This window comes from Homo sapiens, chromosome 1 (assembly GCF_000001405.40).
Source record: "Homo sapiens chromosome 1, GRCh38.p14 Primary Assembly".
Lineage (NCBI taxonomy): Eukaryota > Metazoa > Chordata > Mammalia > Primates > Hominidae > Homo > Homo sapiens.
Window position 1 is genome coordinate 120,905,161 of NC_000001.11, and position 19,142 is coordinate 120,924,302.

The 19,142-nt window shown below is 39.8% G+C and overlaps 3 long non-coding RNA genes across 6 annotated transcripts in view, besides 3 other annotated features; 2 read left to right on the forward strand and 1 right to left on the reverse strand.

The window, feature by feature from the left end:
* Positions 1-6,888, forward strand: part of LOC124904393 (uncharacterized) — a 38,233-nt gene extending 31,345 nt beyond the window's left edge. The window contains exons 2-3 of the long non-coding RNA XR_007066511.1: positions 4,350-4,504; positions 6,802-6,888. This is a non-coding gene — a long non-coding RNA (uncharacterized LOC124904393). The remainder of the gene's footprint in view (positions 1-4,349; positions 4,505-6,801) is intronic.
* A 189-nt stretch (positions 6,889-7,077) lies between these two features.
* LINC00623 (long intergenic non-protein coding RNA 623) overlaps positions 7,078-19,142 on the forward strand; it is a 43,574-nt gene continuing 31,509 nt past the window's right edge. For 3 of the 4 annotated variants that reach the window (NR_024510.2, NR_024511.2, NR_109754.2), the window contains exon 1: positions 8,057-8,290. This is a non-coding gene — a long non-coding RNA (long intergenic non-protein coding RNA 623). Of the gene's footprint in view, positions 7,165-8,056; positions 8,291-19,142 lie in introns of those variants that run through there. The other variant, NR_024584.2, reaches the window with a different exon arrangement.
* LOC100996720 (uncharacterized) lies at positions 8,181-8,954 on the reverse strand. The gene has a single exon (NR_160510.1). It is a non-coding gene; the product is annotated as an uncharacterized LOC100996720 (long non-coding RNA).
* Positions 8,829-9,367: an enhancer, noted in NCBI's record as "OCT4-NANOG-H3K27ac-H3K4me1 hESC enhancer chr1:149577239-149577777 (GRCh37/hg19 assembly coordinates)". NCBI's record gives its function as "activates a minimal SCP1, AML or CMV promoter by ChIP-STARR-seq in naive H9 embryonic stem cells {active_cell/tissue: H9 hESC(naive)}" and the evidence as "EXISTENCE:reporter gene assay evidence [ECO:0000049][PMID:30033119]".
* Positions 8,992-9,121: a silencer, noted in NCBI's record as "silent region_1252". NCBI's record gives its function as "represses an Ori minimal core promoter by ATAC-STARR-seq in GM12878 lymphoblastoid cells {active_cell/tissue: GM12878}" and the evidence as "EXISTENCE:reporter gene assay evidence [ECO:0000049][PMID:35858748]".
* Positions 9,368-9,905: an enhancer, noted in NCBI's record as "OCT4-NANOG-H3K27ac-H3K4me1 hESC enhancer chr1:149577778-149578315 (GRCh37/hg19 assembly coordinates)". NCBI's record gives its function as "activates a minimal SCP1, AML or CMV promoter by ChIP-STARR-seq in naive H9 embryonic stem cells {active_cell/tissue: H9 hESC(naive)}" and the evidence as "EXISTENCE:reporter gene assay evidence [ECO:0000049][PMID:30033119]".

A 19,142-nucleotide genomic window follows, 5' to 3' on the forward strand; every position in this document is an offset into this window, starting at 1 on the left:
CTAAGAAATAAACCAAAATAAAATTATTCACAAATATAACTGTTTTGATCATGCTTTCAGATGATATGTAAGGTAGCCCACAGAAGGTAAATAATATTCAGGGGAAATAAATTATTACTTAAGAGTGGGTGCTGAGAAAAAGAAATGTGTGAAGTGTGAGGTAGGAAGTATGTGAGAAAAGCTAGGCACAGTTGTGTCTTATATTTTTGTTAAAATCTGCCTGTTAAGACTTCCTGATTGGGTAATGGGAATGATACAGTAAAATACTCTTCCTCAGAGTGTCTGACACCATTGTGATAACTTACTACATAAAAGTACAAGTTATATTATATAAAAAGACAGAATGGCCTGGCTCAGTGGCTCATGCCTATAATCCCAGCACTTTGGGAGGCTGAGGCAGGTGGATCTTCTGAGATCAGGAGTTCGGGACCAGCCTGGCCAAAAGGATGAAACCCTGTCTCTACTAAAAATACAAAAAATTAGCCAGGCATGGTGGCAGGCACCTGTAATCCCAGCTACTCAAGGGGCAGAGGCAGGAGAATCGCTTGAACCTGGGAGACGGAGGTTGCAGTGAACTGAGATCGTGCCACTGCACTCCAGCCTGGGCAACAAGAGCGGAAACTCCGTCCCAAAAAAAAAAAATGACTCCAAGAAACTGAGGTTTCTAGATGAGGGTTACACAATGTGGATCTAAAAGCAACAGGGAAAGGAAAAGGATTTGGGCCTAGAATGTGGGGAAATTTTAGATGCTGCAGAAAGCCTTCTGGTGTCTTTCTAGAATGGCTGGATTTTGGTTAAGACAAAGAAGAAGTAACTTTTCATGGAGAACAGTAGCATACAGGAGTGCGGATGGTTTGATCATTTAAGGCAGGGATGTGAGGTTTGATGGAATATGTTGATAACAAAGATTCTTTGCTTGGCCAACTTTAGTCAGGCTTCTAAATCTTCAGCTAGGCTAAACTGTGCACTTCCTCACAAAATCCAGCATTAGCAAAGAACACTGCCAAGTTTACCAAAGACCCCCTCATTCTCAATATCTGATCAGGTTCTTCATTCTTCACCATTCTGCAGGTGATGTCTGATCACCCTGGCCAGTCTTCAGCAAGAATTCTTTTAGGGCGGTTTAGCCAGAATCTCCCTTACTCCTGATGTTTCCTCTTAGTGATTTTCCATTCACTGACCCCTGCATTGCTCCTGGGCTATAAATTCCCACTTCCCCGTGCTGTATTCAGAGTTAAGCCCATCTCTCTCCCCAGCTCCAAGACTGTGTTGCAGTGGTTCCTATATCTATGGTAATGGTCCTGAATAAAGTCTTCTTTACTGTGCATTTGAAGTATCACTGAATAATTTTTTCTTTAACAATTATGGTGTTGAAACAGATTCATCACTGGATCCTGGGCCTCTCACTCAGGACCCTAAATGCATGCCTTTGAAGTCTTTGTTGTCATTTCTGACTGATTAGGGATCCATTGGTGAATCAGATTTCTGAGCCATTGCTCCACACAAAAGCCCGTTGATGGCTATGGACAGATTTTGAATCTTAAGGGATGAATATTCTCTCTGAAGCTGGGGTAGAGTCCCAGGCTTCTTTTGAAAGGAATCCTCTGGGCAGGAAGGTCTTCCTGTGGGCTTCTTGTTCTGAGTGATCTATTCTCTGAGTCCCTAGACTAGAAGTCTCTTCTTTCTGGCTCTCTTTTTCTGAGTGAGGGGTTACTCCCTGATTCCCTGAGCTACAAATTGTTCTTCCTGGCTCTCTATAAAACCACTCTGCTCTTTCTCTTCTCTCTATTGGATCCTGCTTCTCCCATGGGAGCTCTGTCACCTGAAACCCCTCTTCTCAAGTCTCTGCTGACTATTTCTCTGTCCACTCTTGCCAGACCCGTTTCTTTTCTGCTGAACTTCAGGACCCCTATCCTACCCTCCTTTGAGGGGGCTCTCAAGGGACTCAGAGGCCCCTCAAAAACAAGCACCTGGGGCTGATAATAGGAGAAAAAAAGAAACTATTTGGAAACTGATAAAGTAAAAAAAAAAAAAATCTTAAAAAACCTCCTCCACAAATATTGGTAAAAAGATTTAGCCTTTGTTATGTAGGTCAACTCAACTTATCCCTTTCTCACCAGAAACACAATTTGGATAACAATATAAAGTGGAGATAAACCAGTGAGTTTGTATTTTTGTATTACTCTGTTTTACTGCCTCATGGTTAAAAACTTTTTTTTTTTTTTTTTTTTGAGACAGAGTCTCACTTCATTGCTCAGGCTGGAGTGCAGCGGGGCAATCTCGGCTCACTGCAACCTCCACCTCCTGGGTTCAAGTGCTTCTTGTGCCTCAGCCGGGCGCCACGATGCCCCACGCCCAGCTAATTTTTGTATTTTTAGTAGAGACGGGGTTATGCCATGTTGGCCAGGCTGGTCTCGAACTCCTGACCTCAGGTGATCCACCCGCCTCAGCCTCCCAAAGTGCTGGGATTACAGGCATGAGCCACTGCACCTGGCCTGGTTAAAATTTTTTAAATGAAAAGTCATAAGATCTGGTTACATCAGTCTATATGTTTGTGTATGTGTACATGTGTGTATCTATGTTATTATGTTATGTATATGTGATATTTTTCTACCTCCAACGTTATTACCAAACTAAAATACCCAAATTGGCTAGGGATAAATGAGCACTCAAACAAATAAGAATGTATAAAATTTTCAGAAAAGTAGAAACTGACCCAATTTTTTTTAGGTTCACATAATCTGGGATATTCCTTAGTAAATAAAAACTAGTTTAAAAAATATTGGTAAAATAAAAATAGAAACATTTTCAGAACTGTCAGCATACACTTATTTTACCTGGCTTTGCTGATTAGACAAGTTTGTGTTGTTACTGTTAGATGTTTAAGGCCATAAAACCATAAATTCAACCTAAGAATAGGATATGTAGTAAAAGTAAATTGCTTAATTGTCTGGTGTATGTCTGTTGCAAATGTAAATAAGAAAACATATCTAGAAGGATTGTGAAAATCTTATCTTGTATGGTCTAAGCTGACTGAGATTGGATAGATTTATTTATAAGGTTTTATTAAAACTTAGTTTTAGTAATACATTGATTCAAAAGTAGAATTTGATCTTCTCCGTTAAAATGGTAAAGTTTTCTTGGAATGTTGGTCTGAGAATGTAAAGGGTATTTTTTTCCTTTTAAGTAATTGGCCTCAGAAACAGAGACTGTTTCATCAAGATAATTTCTTGAGTTTCATGTTGTTTTATTAGGTTTTGGTTACTTAAGAAAAGTGAGTCTTCTCAATATTAAAGGAGCTAAGTTCTTGTTCACAACTATGTAATCTGAATTTGCCTTTAAAATCTTTTAATGGAGCTTTTATTAAATAGATAACTATGGTAATATTTGTTTTAAATGTTTTAAACTTTTTGACATTTTTGACAATCTTCCCAAAATCACATTCTAAGTTAAGTCTTTTTGACCTCAAATTAACTTAGGATTCTCCATATTGGACCCTCAGAAAGCCACAAAGAATATTTCTTTTTGTATGAAAGAGAGATTAAACCAATTAGATTTATTTAATATGCTAAATTATATGTGTAGCATTCAAATAAAAAGTGATGCTAAGCCATCTTTAAGTTATATTTATGGATATATTATTGGGATAAGTGTACAAAAGTTGTATGAGATTCCTAGAAATCTAGTATGTTATCAGTCATAATTTTGGTTATTATGTTAAAATGCTGTATGCCATGCTAACCAAATTTTCTTATAAATTGCATCATTGTAATGAACTCTCATTAGATTTTTTAACCATGGACATTTTAAGTCCTTGTCATCTGTAGACAGTCATTGTTTTAATTTACTTGTTCTCTAAAAGCATTTGAAATTAGCTACAGTCCAAAATGGCTTCTTCTTCAAGGAGATTTATGGAAAATACTCTTATGAGTATTCTGGAATACAGGTTTCTGAACAACTTTAACATCATACAATTGGACTGGTAAGAATTTCCAGAACTCTAATAAAACTGACGGGTTCATGTAACTACTAACCCAAGATCAAGCAAAACAAGATTTAATTACGTGGTACTGAATGAACTGATGAGAATAATTTTTAAAATGACTTTTTGTTGGAAACATTGCTAGTTCTTTAAATGTTTTGTTTTCCAGATTTCAGAAAACTTTTTTTTAAGCTATCTCTAGCTTACACCAATTCAGTAAAGAATACTTTTGTGCAAAATGGAAACATTTACTTTTTCTCCCTAACTTATCCCTCCAGAATTTGGAAACTATTTGTGCATATTCTTATTTTTATGGCAAAGTATTTATTTGCATAAGTTTAATAAGAATCTGTTGTCTTTGTAACAGGACAAACTGGAAACACAGGTTATATCACCAAGGCTTTGACTGAAACATCATGTTTTCAGATATGACCAGAAGGCTTTAGGGGACTAAGGTTGGCTTTATGGAACCAATAAAGTACCATCTTGGAAAAACTGGCTCTAGGGTTCCCAGACTTACAGGTAAATAAAGAATGTCACTGTTTGGCAGGTGTGGAAACCTTGGGATATTTTAGGGACCTCAAGAAGAGAGAAATTTATCTGAATCTATAAATGTAACAGGTGCAGACTAATGACAAGTTTTGGGCTTGTATCCCAGCCTCAAGTGGCTTTTAAAAGTTTAATCTGACTGGAGACAGTGGCTCACGCCTGTAATCCCAGCACTTTGGGAGGCCAAGTCAGGTGGATGACAAGGTCAGGAGTTCAAGACCAGCCTGACCAATATGGTGAAAGCCCTGTCTCTACTAAAAATACAAAAAATGAGCCAGGCATAGTGGCACGCACCTATAATCCCAGCTACTCGGGAGGCTGAGCAGAAGAATCGCTTGAACCCAGGAGGCGGAGGTTGCAGTGAGCCAAGATCGCACCACTGCACTCCAGCCTGAGTGACAGAGGGAGACTCTGTCTAAAAAAACAAAAACAAAAAGTTTAATCTGAGATTTCTTATCTGACAAACGCAACCTTTAAAAGAGCCTAAATGGTCAATCACTACTCTTAACTGCACTTGTGTACATAAACAGTACAAGTTTAATGAGATTAAACTTATTTAGCAAACAAATCAATCTGACTTTGATTATCTTTGACAGAAATGAGAGTGAATATAGAGAGAAAAGTTATGTTTCGGGAGAAAACTGCAGTGCACCCAATATTAGATTCTAGCTGTTTTTTTTTTTTTTTCTGAGGTTTTATTATCTGCCTGCAATCTGCAATAGATCCTCAATTTTTCTAGTTTACTACAATATTTAGCTACAATACTCCAAATTAATATTTCATTTTTTTCCTGCTATTCTGGCTTGGAATCACTAAAATTATAAACTTTTCTTTTCTTGAAGTCCTTCAAACTGAAACTGGATGACTTGACATAAGCTTCAGAAAAATTACCACAACAGCTTGTGTGTGGCCCATCTTTATGGCATTCAAACTGCAAACTAATCCAATGCCTCTTCTCACTCCAGCTGAAGATATTAAAAGCCCAGCATCTAGAAATCTTATTGATCAGCTGCCCTCTGGGCTCAGAAACTGTCTTTATAGTTCGTTCCAACTATTAATCTTTTTTAATTTTATTTTTATAGAAACTAAACTTCCCACATTAAAGGCCTGATAGCTCACACTATCCAGGAAATATCCTCTGCTACCAAGTCCCAACAGATGATTCAACTGGTCCTTAATGAATAAAAGGTGATCAAACAAGAAAAGAGACTTATACTGTTTGAAGGAAAGATGAATGTCTCTTCTTTCCTTAAACAAGAAGTAGTACTAACAAAGATTCCTTGCTTGGCCAAACTTTAGTCAGATGTCTATCTTCCTTGCAAAATCCAACTTTTTTTTTTTTATGTCGTACAATGTGATGTTTTGTTCTTTTTAAAATTTATTATTATTATACTTTAAGTTTTAGGGTACATGTGCACATTGTGCAGGTTAGTTACATATGTATACATGTGCCATGCTGGTGCGCTGCACCCACTAACTCGTCATCTAGCATTAGGTATATCTCCCAGTGATATCCTTCCCCCCTCCCCCCAACCCACAACAGTCTCCAGAGTGTGATGTTCCCCTTCCTGTGTCCATGTGTTCTCATTGTTCAATTCCCACCTATAAGTGAGAATATGCGGTGTTTGGTTTTTTGTTCTTGCGATAGTTTACTGAGAATGATGATTTCCAATTTCATCCATGTCCCTACAAAGGACATGAACTCATCATTTTTTATGGCTGCATAGTATTCCATGGGGTATATGTGCCACATTTTCTTAATCCAGTCTATCATTGTTGGACATTTGGGTTGGTTCCAAGTCTTTGCTATTGTGAATAGTGCCGCAATAAACATACGTGTGCATGTGTCTTTATAGCAGCATGATTTATAGTCCTTTGGGTACCTACCCAGTAATGGGATGGCTGGGTCAAATGGTATTTCTAGTTCTAGATAGAATGTTTCCTCTTATAACTCATAGTGAATATGACTGGACAATGAAACTATTTTGTAATTTCTTTCCTGAAAGATAAAGGCGTTAGAACATAGAATCTTTCATTGATTCTACAGAATCTTAAGACTCCTTCAGAGATGGCAGTCATTCCTACCGTGCTGAACATCATGTTGTCACGGTCAGAATCAGAACTAAATTGATTAAGGGTCTGAAACAGTTTGGCACTCTTGGGCACTTATTCTGATAAGAAAGCTGATGAGACAGGGTAATGAAAAGAGGCTGCAAGAAATGACCATTCATGCATTCAGCCAACATTTAGGCCACCCTCCTGTATTCCAGGCACTGTACGTGGCACTGAGAATGCAAAGCAAAACGAGTCATGGTCTACTGGTGGGAGCCTTCTCAGCGGAGAAAAGATCAATAAGAAAAGTGCCTGCTGGAGACCTCTCCTAGGGCATAAACCAATATAGAGGTGGGGCAGCTACGTCACCCTGAGGTGTCCTTAGGCAGAACAGAAAGTGAGAATCAGAGCAGTATCTCATTTCTGAACACCTGGATTGTAGCTTTCCCTGGACTGACTGTCAAAGGAGGTGGTTTTAAAAAGCAAGCCAAACAGGTTTCCATCCTTTAGGAAGACCCTGGAACGTGCCAGTTGATTCTGACAATTTCTCATGAACAGAAACACCTAGGAAGGGAGAACTGGTGAGTCTTTTCAAGAGGAGGAAGTCCCTCAAAAGGGGCTGTGTTTCGCAAACGGCGCCCCAAAAGGGCTGAAATACTTCGATCTGGAGGAAAAAGACTCAGGCACTGAGGGAAGGGGAGGGTGCACATCTGGAGTAATTTCAAGGCTTTTTCCGTGTTATCTGAGGTGGCAACAAGTAAAGATTTGTTCGTTTTATTATTTTTTTAATTTTTAAAGATTTTCTTTTCCCTCCTTTTCCCCCTCCCGGCCACTCCGGTTTGTGTTTGCCACAAGACTCATAATTCCTTTAGAAAGTGGAGTCGAATTCATAAAAGTGATGGGGGGAGAGCGCGGAGAGGGAAGGCTGGGAGCCCCAGGGAGTCTTCACTACCTACACTGCCGCTCAGCTCCCGGCGCGAGTGGAGGTCGGGGTGGGGAGACGCGACTCCTGCCCGGGATGGCTGACACTCTGCGAGCCCCGGCGGCCCGCGGCCGGGCCGGGTGACTAGGCGGAGGGCGCGGAGGGTCCGCGGCGGGCGGGTGGCGCTGCAGCAGCCTGGGCACGGCTGCCGCCGCCCGCGGGCGAGAGTGTGCACGGGTGTGGAAGGCCGGAGTGCGGGCCGTGAGGGGTGTGCGCGCTTGAGCCGGAGCGGGGCTCGCCCCTCGTCGGCTCCCGCCGCCCAGCCGGTGATCGCTCTCCGGCCGTCCCCGGCACCCTCGGCCCCCCACGGCGGTTGGTCCGGGCGGGGGAAGGAGAAAGTGAGACTCGGTTTCATCACCAATCCATCGCCAGAAGGGGAGGAAATTGGAATCCAGCAGCGGCGAGCAGCAGCTGGGCGGTCACATCTGGAAATGGAAAGCCGACCTCCCCCTCCTCCTCCACCTCCTCCTCCTCCTCCTCCTCCTCCTCTCACCCAGGATCACTTCCGAAACCACTTGGCCTTCAGCCCCTGCCTCGGCCAGAGGTTTCATTTTTAACTGAATATTTACGAAAGCTGAAAGCGTGCGAGGGGGGTGGGGTGGAAATAGCGGCTGCTTCTTTTCCAAGGATTTATTTAATGGGGATGTGTTCAAGGCAAGACCGAATTCAGAAGGATATCGACGTCGTGATCCAGAAGTCCAGAGCTGAGGACTGCCTGTTTGCAGGTGAGTTCTTGCTTTTCCAGAACCTCGGACCCAGCGCCCCCTTCCCAGTTCTCTGACCGCGACGTGTGTGGCTGGGGGTGGGGTGGAGGGTTTGCACGTCCGCATTCCGGGGTTCATTTGGCAACAGCTGCTGCAACGAACGCGGGAGCCAAAAGCGGGAGGGGGCGCCAGCCTCGCCCCTTCCCCTCCCCCCACCCCCAAGTCTGGGGCAGCTACCAGCTTTGAGGGCAGAACCCGCGTGGCCCGAGCGGGGGTCTAGGCGAAGGGGCAGTGCGTGGTATTTCCAGCCCCGCGTAGTGCCCGAAGCCTGCAAGCACGCCTCATGGGTTCCAGCAGCGGCGGCAGAGCGGGGTTGGTTGGACCCGCCAGGTTTGCGTAATGGGCTGAGCGGCGGCGGCCGGGAATGGAGCCTGCTGCGTTGCGCTCGTAAGCTGCGTCCGGCGCCGAGGACCCCCGGGGGGCAGCGCTCGGCCCATCTCCGGCCCCTTCGGCTCCATCTAGTCCCCTCCGACTGGCAAAGAGAAGGGATTCCTCGGATTCCCAAGGCACCCAGCGCCCCTGCCTGGGGGGTCGCCTTTCGTCCATTTTGCTCCCCCGGGAGAGAGATCGGATTTTGCTTTCGCTGCCGCGAGCCCGGCTGGGGCTGCTTCCGGCCGCCCCGACTGGGAAATTCCCGCCGTTGCCATGGCACCCGGCACTTGCTGCCGGGGGCGGCCTGCCGCTGCACCCAGTCGGGGGCGCGCCGCATCCCCTGGGACGCTGCGCGGAGAGACCTCGCCGCCCTCTAGCCCTCGCCACCCGCCCGGCCAGGCCTCCCCTGACTCCACCAAATGGAGCGCCCAAGTCCTGATCGGGGTTAAAACAAATCCACTCCAGGGGTAGCTTTTGACAGGACTTTCTGTTTCAGATTTCAGATACTCAGACTCCACCTTTACTTTTACCTATGTTGGCGGCCCCAGAAGGTATTTATGGGTGTAGAGTTGCTTCATTTCCTGTTCACACTCTTGTGTTTCCTTTGTTCTTAGCGTGTTCCGTGTTCGGGTATTTTGGTTGCTTGTTTGATTACTGTGGCTTTTCTTTACCTACAACCCAAGCCTGACGTCCCTCGGTTTTAAATAGCAGGGGGAGGGGAATCAATGTTTGATTCAGGTGTTTCGAAGACCACGCCACAGGCGATGAGCAGAACTCTTCATGTTGAAACGGTTCTGCTACAGTACTAGATTGCTCTCAGGCGATTTGGGGTTGATACAGGCAAGCCGGTGCAAAACTGGAATACTGGATATGAAGTGAAATGTATAAAAGACATAAAATGTCACAAAATAGTTTGATCACAAGTGTTGATTTTCCTGGTGAGTTGGGGCTGCGTGTTTCCATGTTTTCTGAAGGTTCACATAAACATGCAGCCTGCCAATTCTCTGTATATTTTTTTTTTCAATGAGTGGTATTTCGGTTTTCACGTTTAGTTGTAAGACAGAAATTGGAGACTTATATGTAGCTGGAGTGGATGACTTCTTTCTTTTGGGGGAAGAATGAGAGATGCACATTTCGTTAGTAAATTGTGAACAACTTGAAACAAACCCAAATCCAATTGTGAATTTAAGAAGTAGAGTTAAAATGAAAGGTAGCCATTCAAATACTATGCCTTGCTGCCTTCACTTATTAAGTTAGGATTTTCTTCCTTTTAGCCCTTTAGGGATACAGTAGTTTAAAAGAGCAGTAGCCACATATGAAAGGATCAGATTTAGCTTAGAGGGAATTCCTTAGACCAGCCCTGCTGTTAAGACTTGACATTCAATATTGTTTGATCACATTCCAAAATATAGCTTAGCTAATGGCAACATTTGTAAACATATAAATTGCAAAAGAAGCTTTCTTGTGTACATACATTTTTAAAAGCTTGAAATTGATGTGAACTTTTAAAAACACGTAGGATCTGTATTACATTCTACATCTCAAAACAAATTTAATTAAAGTGAATATCATTCCAGTATATACAATATGCCTAAGACCCAGAATTGGCACACTGATTTACTAGTTGAAAATATAACAGTATTCACCAAACTTCAATGTATACTTTTTGGAGAGAATGAAATTACAGTATTTCTTAATTTACTGTAATGTCATCTTTGTAATTATGAATTAACAATTCAATGAGAGGAGACTTGGTTGATTAAATTAATGCTGGTCCTACACATTATATCTAAAGGATCTTCGTATATGACTACTATCTTCTTGGATTATTTTAACAGTTAAAATATACAAAGTGGCCCATTAAAAACAGAGTTGACTTTTCACCATTGCTGTTTTTCTGGTGAGACATGTGGAAAGGAAGGACAGGTGGACTTTTCAACTAACTAGCTCTCTGATTTTTAATAAGATACCTCAGTTCTTTTGGCCTCAGTTTACTTATCTGTACAAAGGGTAAGTCATATGCTTAATCACTAAGATCTGTTAGATACTGCAGTTAAGATTCTTTATCAACAAATTACTGAACTCTAGTGTTAACATAGCTAGAGGTGGAAAAGGAAGCAAGACCAGGTGTTGGGATGAATAATTAACTAATCGAGATAACATCAGTTTTCACCATAGGAACAAGTACCATCGTTGCTCTTAAAGTAAGAGATGTTTCCTATTTTATGTAATTTTACTAAGGGATAATGTTTTCTTTTGTCACTGATTTAAATGTACCTGGATGTTTCTCAGCCATGTGGCTAAGATCGAACACAAGTAATACCTGGGCCTTTTATATCTAATCTAATGTAGACCAGCCTGTTAAAAGAGAAAGACAATTGGTTAAACTGCTGATGTGTTGCTTTGTCTTCTCAAAAGCTTGTTCTATAATACAATATGTAAAAAGTTGTTACAGTGTAGTAACCGTAGATAATCCCTTTATGATTTGTACCTAATGACGAAGACCTTTTATTTTCTGAAAATAACGTGTTTGTTTTCATTACCGACATTAGAAGCCAATATTTATTAATCTATTTCTCATCCTGACATTTCAGTCAGACTCTTAAAATAATCTTGCTGTGTTTTGATTTAATGTGCTTATCAACTTATAATATTGAATTAATGTTAATAGTGTCATTTTAGGTGAACTAGACTTCATTGAAGGAGGTGGGAGCCTTATGGAGAGAGAGTATATGATTATCTCTATTTGTATTTAATTACCATTTCATCTAACCATTCAGAACATATTTCAAGAATAATTTTAATTCAAGTTGTAGATAAAACTTACTATACCATTTTCATTTTGACGCTTTCCGAGAATGAGATACACGGTATTTTAAAGACAAAGATTGATCTTACATGTTACTATTAAAAAAAACACGATAATTTTGTTCTATATTTATACTTTTAATTTTTCTGTGGATAATAAGAAATGCCAAGAGTCGATTGTGTCCATGCTGGCAAGTGGCCTAATAAATTGTCCTTTTATTTGGTGGTCCTCAGAGTGGCAGTTAACATCTTGCTATTCTGCCTTGTGGACTTGAGGTGGAAAGGTTCATGGAATTATATCCTTGCTTTTGGATGTGCAAACTGAGGCTCAGAGAGTTTAAGACACATAGTCACTTTCACCAATTAAATGATGAAGCTGCCATGTAAACGTATTTCATCACACTCCCGAGACCTTCTTCTCCAGTAGTGTTTTCAAGCTTTTTGAGCATGCAGACACTACCAATCAAAAAATTATGTAGAGACATACTTGAGAGTTACAGTTTAAAGAAAAACAAGGTGTAATTATTTGGTTATTAGTAGCATTTACATATGCTTGAAAACTTCTGCTATATATACAGTAAGATTAATTTATTCTAACAATGATCTTGATAATCCCCCTGATTCCCAGACTCCTTGGAATAGCTCCACAGCTATCAGTGGTTCTGCCACAGGTTCAGAGCCTTCCCAGTACTGCCTTCTTATTTGAGAGGTGTGCTAAGAGCTATAAAGCAGAGGCTTCAATTGTACACAATTGGGAAGTTTAGGCAAAAGTCATTTCTTCCCTATATTTTGTCATGCTTATCTCCTGTCTCTTTCTGTTTTACAGATTAGCAATAAACTCCTTAAAACCCAAAGGTTTGGGCTTCTGTTCCTTTCACTTGCAGTCAGACATGGAGTTAGTGGTAGAAGAAACAGAAGGGGTAACCTGCATGGTGACAGCTACTGAGGGGATGGATAGGAAAGCAGGCTGAGTCCCTGGGGCCAGTGGTTACCAAAGCCAAGGAGAGAGCAAGGGGAGCCCAGTGGGCCTGGCCATGGACTGCTCTGGAATTCCGAGTGTGAACTTTCAGCCAAGAAGGTAGTGTGAAAATATTACTGTGAGGTTTTAAAAGTACACAAATAACAATTGTTTTTTGTAAAAAGAAAAAAAAAAGTTAGAAAAAGAGATATGCCAAAAAGAAGAAAGTAAAAAATACATGACTTCTGTCTTCTGTTAACATATTAAAATTTATGCTTTTAGATTTTTATGTGTCTATATACATGTAAAATATATATGCATCCCCAAATTGTATTATACTCTTTTGAGACCTCACATTTTTTTCACCCAAGAATATAACATTAATTTCTTTCCTTTAGAAAAGACATGAGACTAAAGAATGTTTATTGAGTTGAGAGTTTCCCAATCAAGGAGTATGACTCTGTATAATAATAAATCTAATGTTTTATTAGAAATTATAATAAAATTAGAAATTTAATATTTGGCAGGATGTGAGTTGCCTGCATATGTACACCCTTTATTATATGACTAGACACTCTTTTGTGTGGTCATGGATATATTGGCATCTTTTGAAGTGTATCCTTTTTGTTTCAGGAGCTTCTGTCTAGATGAATAGCAAGTGTGACACTGATAATAGTAATCGAATATTCCTCCAAGTACAGGCTCCTTCCTCTTTCTCCTGGACCTTTGCACATGCTGCCTGGAAAACTCACCCACAACCTACTTTCCATCCTCTCCTTCGGCTCATCCCTGCTCAGCCCTCTTTGTTGAGATATTTGCCAAGCCAGATTCTCTGAGAAGCCTTTCCTGGCATCTTCGTCTATATAATTCTGCTAGTTGTTTCTAAAACTATGTTGTTAGTGTATATTGTAATCACCTATTTATGTCTGTTTGACTGTGAGCCTCTTGGAGATGGGAATTCTCTCCTATGCATTGCGGTTTCCCCAGCCCCTAGCACACTGTCTAGCCCAGTATTCCTTCTCAGTAAGTAGGTGTTGAATGACTTACAAAATGAATGCTAAAAGACCTGGTAGACAAGAAGGAATTTCTTAGCCTAAATGACCAGATGTGGAGAAGATACTCAAACACTTCAGGGTCCCCAATCTGGTGATGTCACTTGCAGTGGAATTTCATATGAATCCAGTGTGACAGAAGTTGCCTAGTCAAGTTGTAAGTCCTCTTCTCTGGGTCACATGTTCAAATACTTTTAGGGGACAGATAATGCAATATTTAAGATACAGGAAGTGATGAGGACTGTGGCACACTGGAGAGTTTGGACTCCAAGAGTAATTAATTCAGTTGAAAAAATCAACAGCACTCTGTTGATCAAGCAAACTTTCTAGGGGCCCTAATCCACCTGGGCCTGCAGTATGTAATTCCATAACTCATGGGATGCCATCAAGAGAGACAATCTACTTGATTGCTAAAGGGCCTTTGTTTTCTTTGGAGTTCCCCAGGAAGGAGAAATGTATGTGTGTGCAGGGGTGAGGAGGGGGGAGAGTGAAGAAACAATACTATGCCCTTAAAAATGTTTGTCAGTTTTCATTATGAAAGAAGATCAAACGTGCCCACTCCAGAAATCTTGGCATATGCAGTTATTTTGAAGCCATTCAGCGTTCTTCAAGATGTCACAATGAAAAGAGTGATGATTTTTTAAATAAAAAATTAACATGTTTCTCTTGGCAATGGGACTTTCTCACCATACTTTTAAGTTACATCACTTATTATGTATTCAAAATACTGATTTTTTAAAAGTATGTTCCTTGGAGCCCTGGGAACCTGCCTCAGGAGCTGGGGTGGCTGTGGGGAGGGAGTATGAAGGGAGCTGAATGAGTTAGTGAGAATCTGGGTCTTCATATCTTTTTTAAAATTGTGGCTGCTTTTTTCTGTTCTGTATAACAACTCTTTTTGAAAACAGTTTCATTGTTGAGTTTTAAAACCACTGACCTAAAATAACCACCAATTTAACGTAAGTATAACTTCATTGAGTTTTTTTGTATTAAAAAAATTAAACTCCATTTTCTTCATGGATTAAGGTGATCCTACTAGGATATTTATTAAGCATTGTCTCTGCTGTTCTTTTTGCTTGCCTTGCTTTATCCCGTGTTTCCAAAAAATACAAATAGGTATTTTGTCAGCTATTTTACATTTTATAGCAGGGAAAACAGAGGCTTGGGTGATTTAAGTAAGTTACAGTTAGTAAGAGCCATAGGATACATTTCGGTGTAAGTCAATGTTTATGTAAGGCTTAAGGGACATTGGTTGAATTGGCATGACTAGAATAGTTGGGAATGTTTGGGAATGGGGAGAGATTGCTAATGGGATGTCTGCCAGGGGCAATACTGAAAATCTGCTGGTTGGCAAAGGTAGTGCCTGAGCCCAGTGCTAACCATAGTAGTTGGAAAATTGTGTACGTTGGCTGTGGAATCCTTATGCAAATATTTGTCCAATCCATCTAAATTTCTCTCTGCAGCATTTTTAAAAAGACATATAGCTGAAATTTTGTCAGTCCTAAAAATATTTTGTATTTCTCTGCCCAGATTTGCATTTGGGTAGATCGTGCTGTAGAAGATATATCTTGCTTTAAGATAGCTGCCACTGATTAGTTTAGTCTATTTTAATCAACTTATTGCCTTGTAATCTTTCCTTTTTCATTCTCTAAATTTCTGAAATTCTATCTTTCATGTTCCCCAGGAAAGACTAGTAAGACGTGTTTTTATTAATAAGACATTATCCTCATTTCACCATGACATAATTTGGGCTTTCTGTTCCAAGTTATCCTACTTGAATGCTGGACACTTCCACCTGAATATTTGTCATTTTCACCTCAACCCAGCACATCAAAACAATCCCTTATTACCTCTTTAAAAGAAGCTTCTCTCTCCAGCCTTTTCCTAGTCAGTATCACATCTTTTGAGACAGGTATGGGGATTGCTGTTTCAGATTTCACCTCAAGTCTTCCTCTTCTGGTTCCTGAAGCTCCGGCAACCTCTGCTTTGAAACATTGTTGGCCTCTTCATCCCATCCCATGTCAATATTTAGCCCATGCCCTGTTGGCTTTGACTTAGCTCAATCACCTTAACCCAGTGTCTTAAAATTCTTGATTTTGAGTTTCTTACCCATCCAGTTTATTTACACCTGAACTCTTTAAGCATGAAATTAATCATTCTTCTGTTCAGAAGCCTTCGAATGTGACCACAGCTTTTTCCATATAGACCTAAAACTTATATTCTTGGCCTTTGAGAGCTGCCTTCCCTACCCACTGATATATGTTTCTCATGCTTCCTAACACCTACATGCTTCTGTTTGCTTAGTGACCACCCCCCACCCACTCATCAGCAGTTTGTATTAATTTAGTGTAAAGCTGTGTAAAGTTTATTGATTGATAACATCTGTGTCAAGATCATGGTTTTTATTATAAAGAGCAGTTCATTGTGTTTTTTCCTTGCCCACGAATGGTATCTCTGTTCATTAGGATACATAATATTTTATGCATAGGAGGATAGAGTGAGAATATGAGTAGAACAAAGTAAGAATGAGAGGAGAGAATAGTGAAATTTGAGGATAGGATGAGAATGTGAATAGATTTATGTCCATCCATTACAAGATTAATAACCACAACGACAAAAGTCTTGAATGTTATTTATTTGCATATGAGTGATATTTCAGTTTGTGGCTGATACCCTTTTGGTATTAAATGGAAGATGACAAATCATTCAATATTAATTTTAGAGGGAGACATCTATTGAAACTTTTGTGCAGTCAGGTCAAGTTTCTGTGTACAAAAATTAGCAGAGAGGTTGCTGCTGGTTGACTTCCCCTAGGATGGTGTCTTTCTGAACATTTTGAAATGTAGATTGAAAAGGTGGATTTGTCAACTAACTCTGAAGTGCTGTAGTTAGTTGTGTTTTCATCATTGTTTTATTATTTATTTTATTTTTAAGATGGAGTTTTCGCTCTTGTTGCCCAGGCTGGAGTGCAGTTGGTGAGATCTTGGCTCACTGCAACCTCTGCCCCCTGGGTTCAAGCGATTCTCTTGTCTCAGTCTCTCAAGTAACTGGGATTACAGGCACACACCACCACGGCCAGCTAATTATTTTGTATTTTTAGTCGAGACGAGAATTCACCATATTGGCCTCAGGTGATCGGCCCACCTCGGTCTCCCAAAGTGTTGGGATTATGGGCGTGAGCCAGCCACGGTGCCCGGCCTGTTTTATTGTTTGTAAAACAAGTACAGGTTGTTATTATCCAAGAATTGTTGATAGAGTATATACTGTATTTGAAGTGTAGAACTGAGGCAGAGGCTGATTCATATAACTAGTTTACATTTGTTAGCCTTTCACATCTGTGAAGGAATAAAGTACAGACAAAAGTGGAAAACAAACCAGGAAAAAAAAATTGTGAAGCACAGAGCTGCTTAAAAGAAAAAAGTCACAGAAATAAGTCAGTATTTTGTTTAGAGACTAGAACTCCAACTGCTAGCCAACTGCCTAGAATATAGTAAATATTTTCTAGTTTCTTAAATGACTAGTAATATTCCTACATTATGTGATGGCATTTCCCAAACTGTTTAATTAGATGTTAGATTTGTAGCCAAATATGTCTAGGAAATGCTTAAACAATATAAAACGGTTTTAATGATTGGCTTTTTAGAACGTTATATATTAGTGTGCTTTATGCATATCCAAGAGGTGAGTGAGGTATTTGGGGTTTTTCAGACTTACTTGATTACAGATCTGGAGTATCTCAAAACAGTTGTTTTGTGGAAAACACTCTGGCAAACTCTGAGTCTTAGTCATTAAAAATAGTTTTTGGGTAAACAACAGTGTAATAGAGATGGAAATTACTGATTCACATTGAGCCATGAAGAATTTATTTTCAGCAATTTTTATAGAAGTTGCTTTATGACAAAGAAAGCTTTGGTTAACTGGCATTTGGCATTTCATACCCCTAAATTTTCTACATGAGGATTTATTTCTCTGGTTCTCTCACTTTCTCACTCAGTTATACTGAATTCATTTATGATGAGCGCTCTCAACCATTCTTATTCATCAAAGCCCTGAAGTTGGCAGAGCCCTCTCTGGTACCTGATTAGAAGTCCGTCTTCCATCTCATAGGGAAGTGTTAGAGATGGATAATGTTTCTGTGTAGCAGAAGTAGTCATTATGTCCCCTTAAATTCGGTCACTTTGACTGCAGTAGAGCTTCTTAGTGAGCAGTCTGTGATGGAGTATACTTTCGGAGAAGCTCATGGTGGGGGAAATCTGGAATTTATCTAAATATTTCATTTCTTTGATAAATTACATTAAAAAATTAATGAGAGTATCTATTTGGTGAAATCATTTTCCTCCACGTGACCAAATGAGAAATTTAGTGAAAGATTTAAAATCATTTTTCAGACTTTTTCCACATTAGTCGGGAAGCAAACCCCTTTTTTAAGGCAATGTCAGTTATTAAGCTTTAGGGAACCACATGCCACTTTAGGTAACACGTGATTGGAGAGATTGAAGAGTGAAGTCCCTGCTTTAAAGTGTACTCCTGTGGACACAGTAATACATATATTTAAAATGGTTCATGTTAAGAGTAGGTATATTTCTATCTAAATACTCTGTAGCTTTTGTGATTCAGGGAAATGAGTGGAGCCTCACAGGCACAAGAATCTAGTAAATTCTAGGTTTCTTGTGTGGAAATCAGTGGGCAAAATCTTAACTGAGTGAATTCTTGATTATTGGTATCACATTTGTTAGTCTGTATGTATCTGTGTCATCGATCTCCTTAAGAAGAGACTCGTAGATATTGACTGGGAGACCCAAGCTGAATGCTAAAATCTGCTCCATGGATATAAGCTGATGCAGTCATCATTTCACATTAAAATGTACCACAGCTATATATGCAGCAAAAAAAAAAAAGAAGTTAGTCCCTCCAGCTGAAAAGTGGTCATTACTTTATTATCACCACAGAATTTGAAATGATTTCTGTAGTTAACAGTCAGATTTTATTTTTACTTAACTAAGACAAAGTGAATAATTCACTGTGAGCCAAATTCTTTCTTGATTCCTCTTTTTGGAGCAGTCCATCTTTATGGGAAAACCAGCCTAGAATGGTGATTTCAGTTTCAGGTGATTTCGATAGAATTGTATTTGGCTCAGAAATGATAAGACTGGGGCCAAGAAAAATTTTAAACTTTTTTTTTTGTAATCATATTACTAGTTTGATTTCATATGAACTTCCTTTGTTGACTTTCTTTGCCATTAATTTAAAAGTTCCAGTATCCTCAATATTTGATGTCTTATATGTACAGAATCCTTTCCAGCTGTAAGTCATCAGCAAGTAAAAAATTTAGTATGGCAATAGTTTTCATAAGAGGTTTTTTAAAACAGAAAAATGTTGACATTGCCAGCCTCTGGGTTGCATTTTGGGATATGCTACATTTCAAAGGTATCTTTTAAATCTGAAGGCAAAGACTTTTTCAACATCTGAATATTCTGATTTACAGAAATTAAAAAAAAAAACCCCGGAACATTACACGGGCATATAAATTTGAATCAGGAAAATATAAAATTAGCTGATTATTTTTATTCAGTAAAAGTGCCTTGGCACAGAACTAAAATTGATAACTTATGGTTTTAGCATGTAG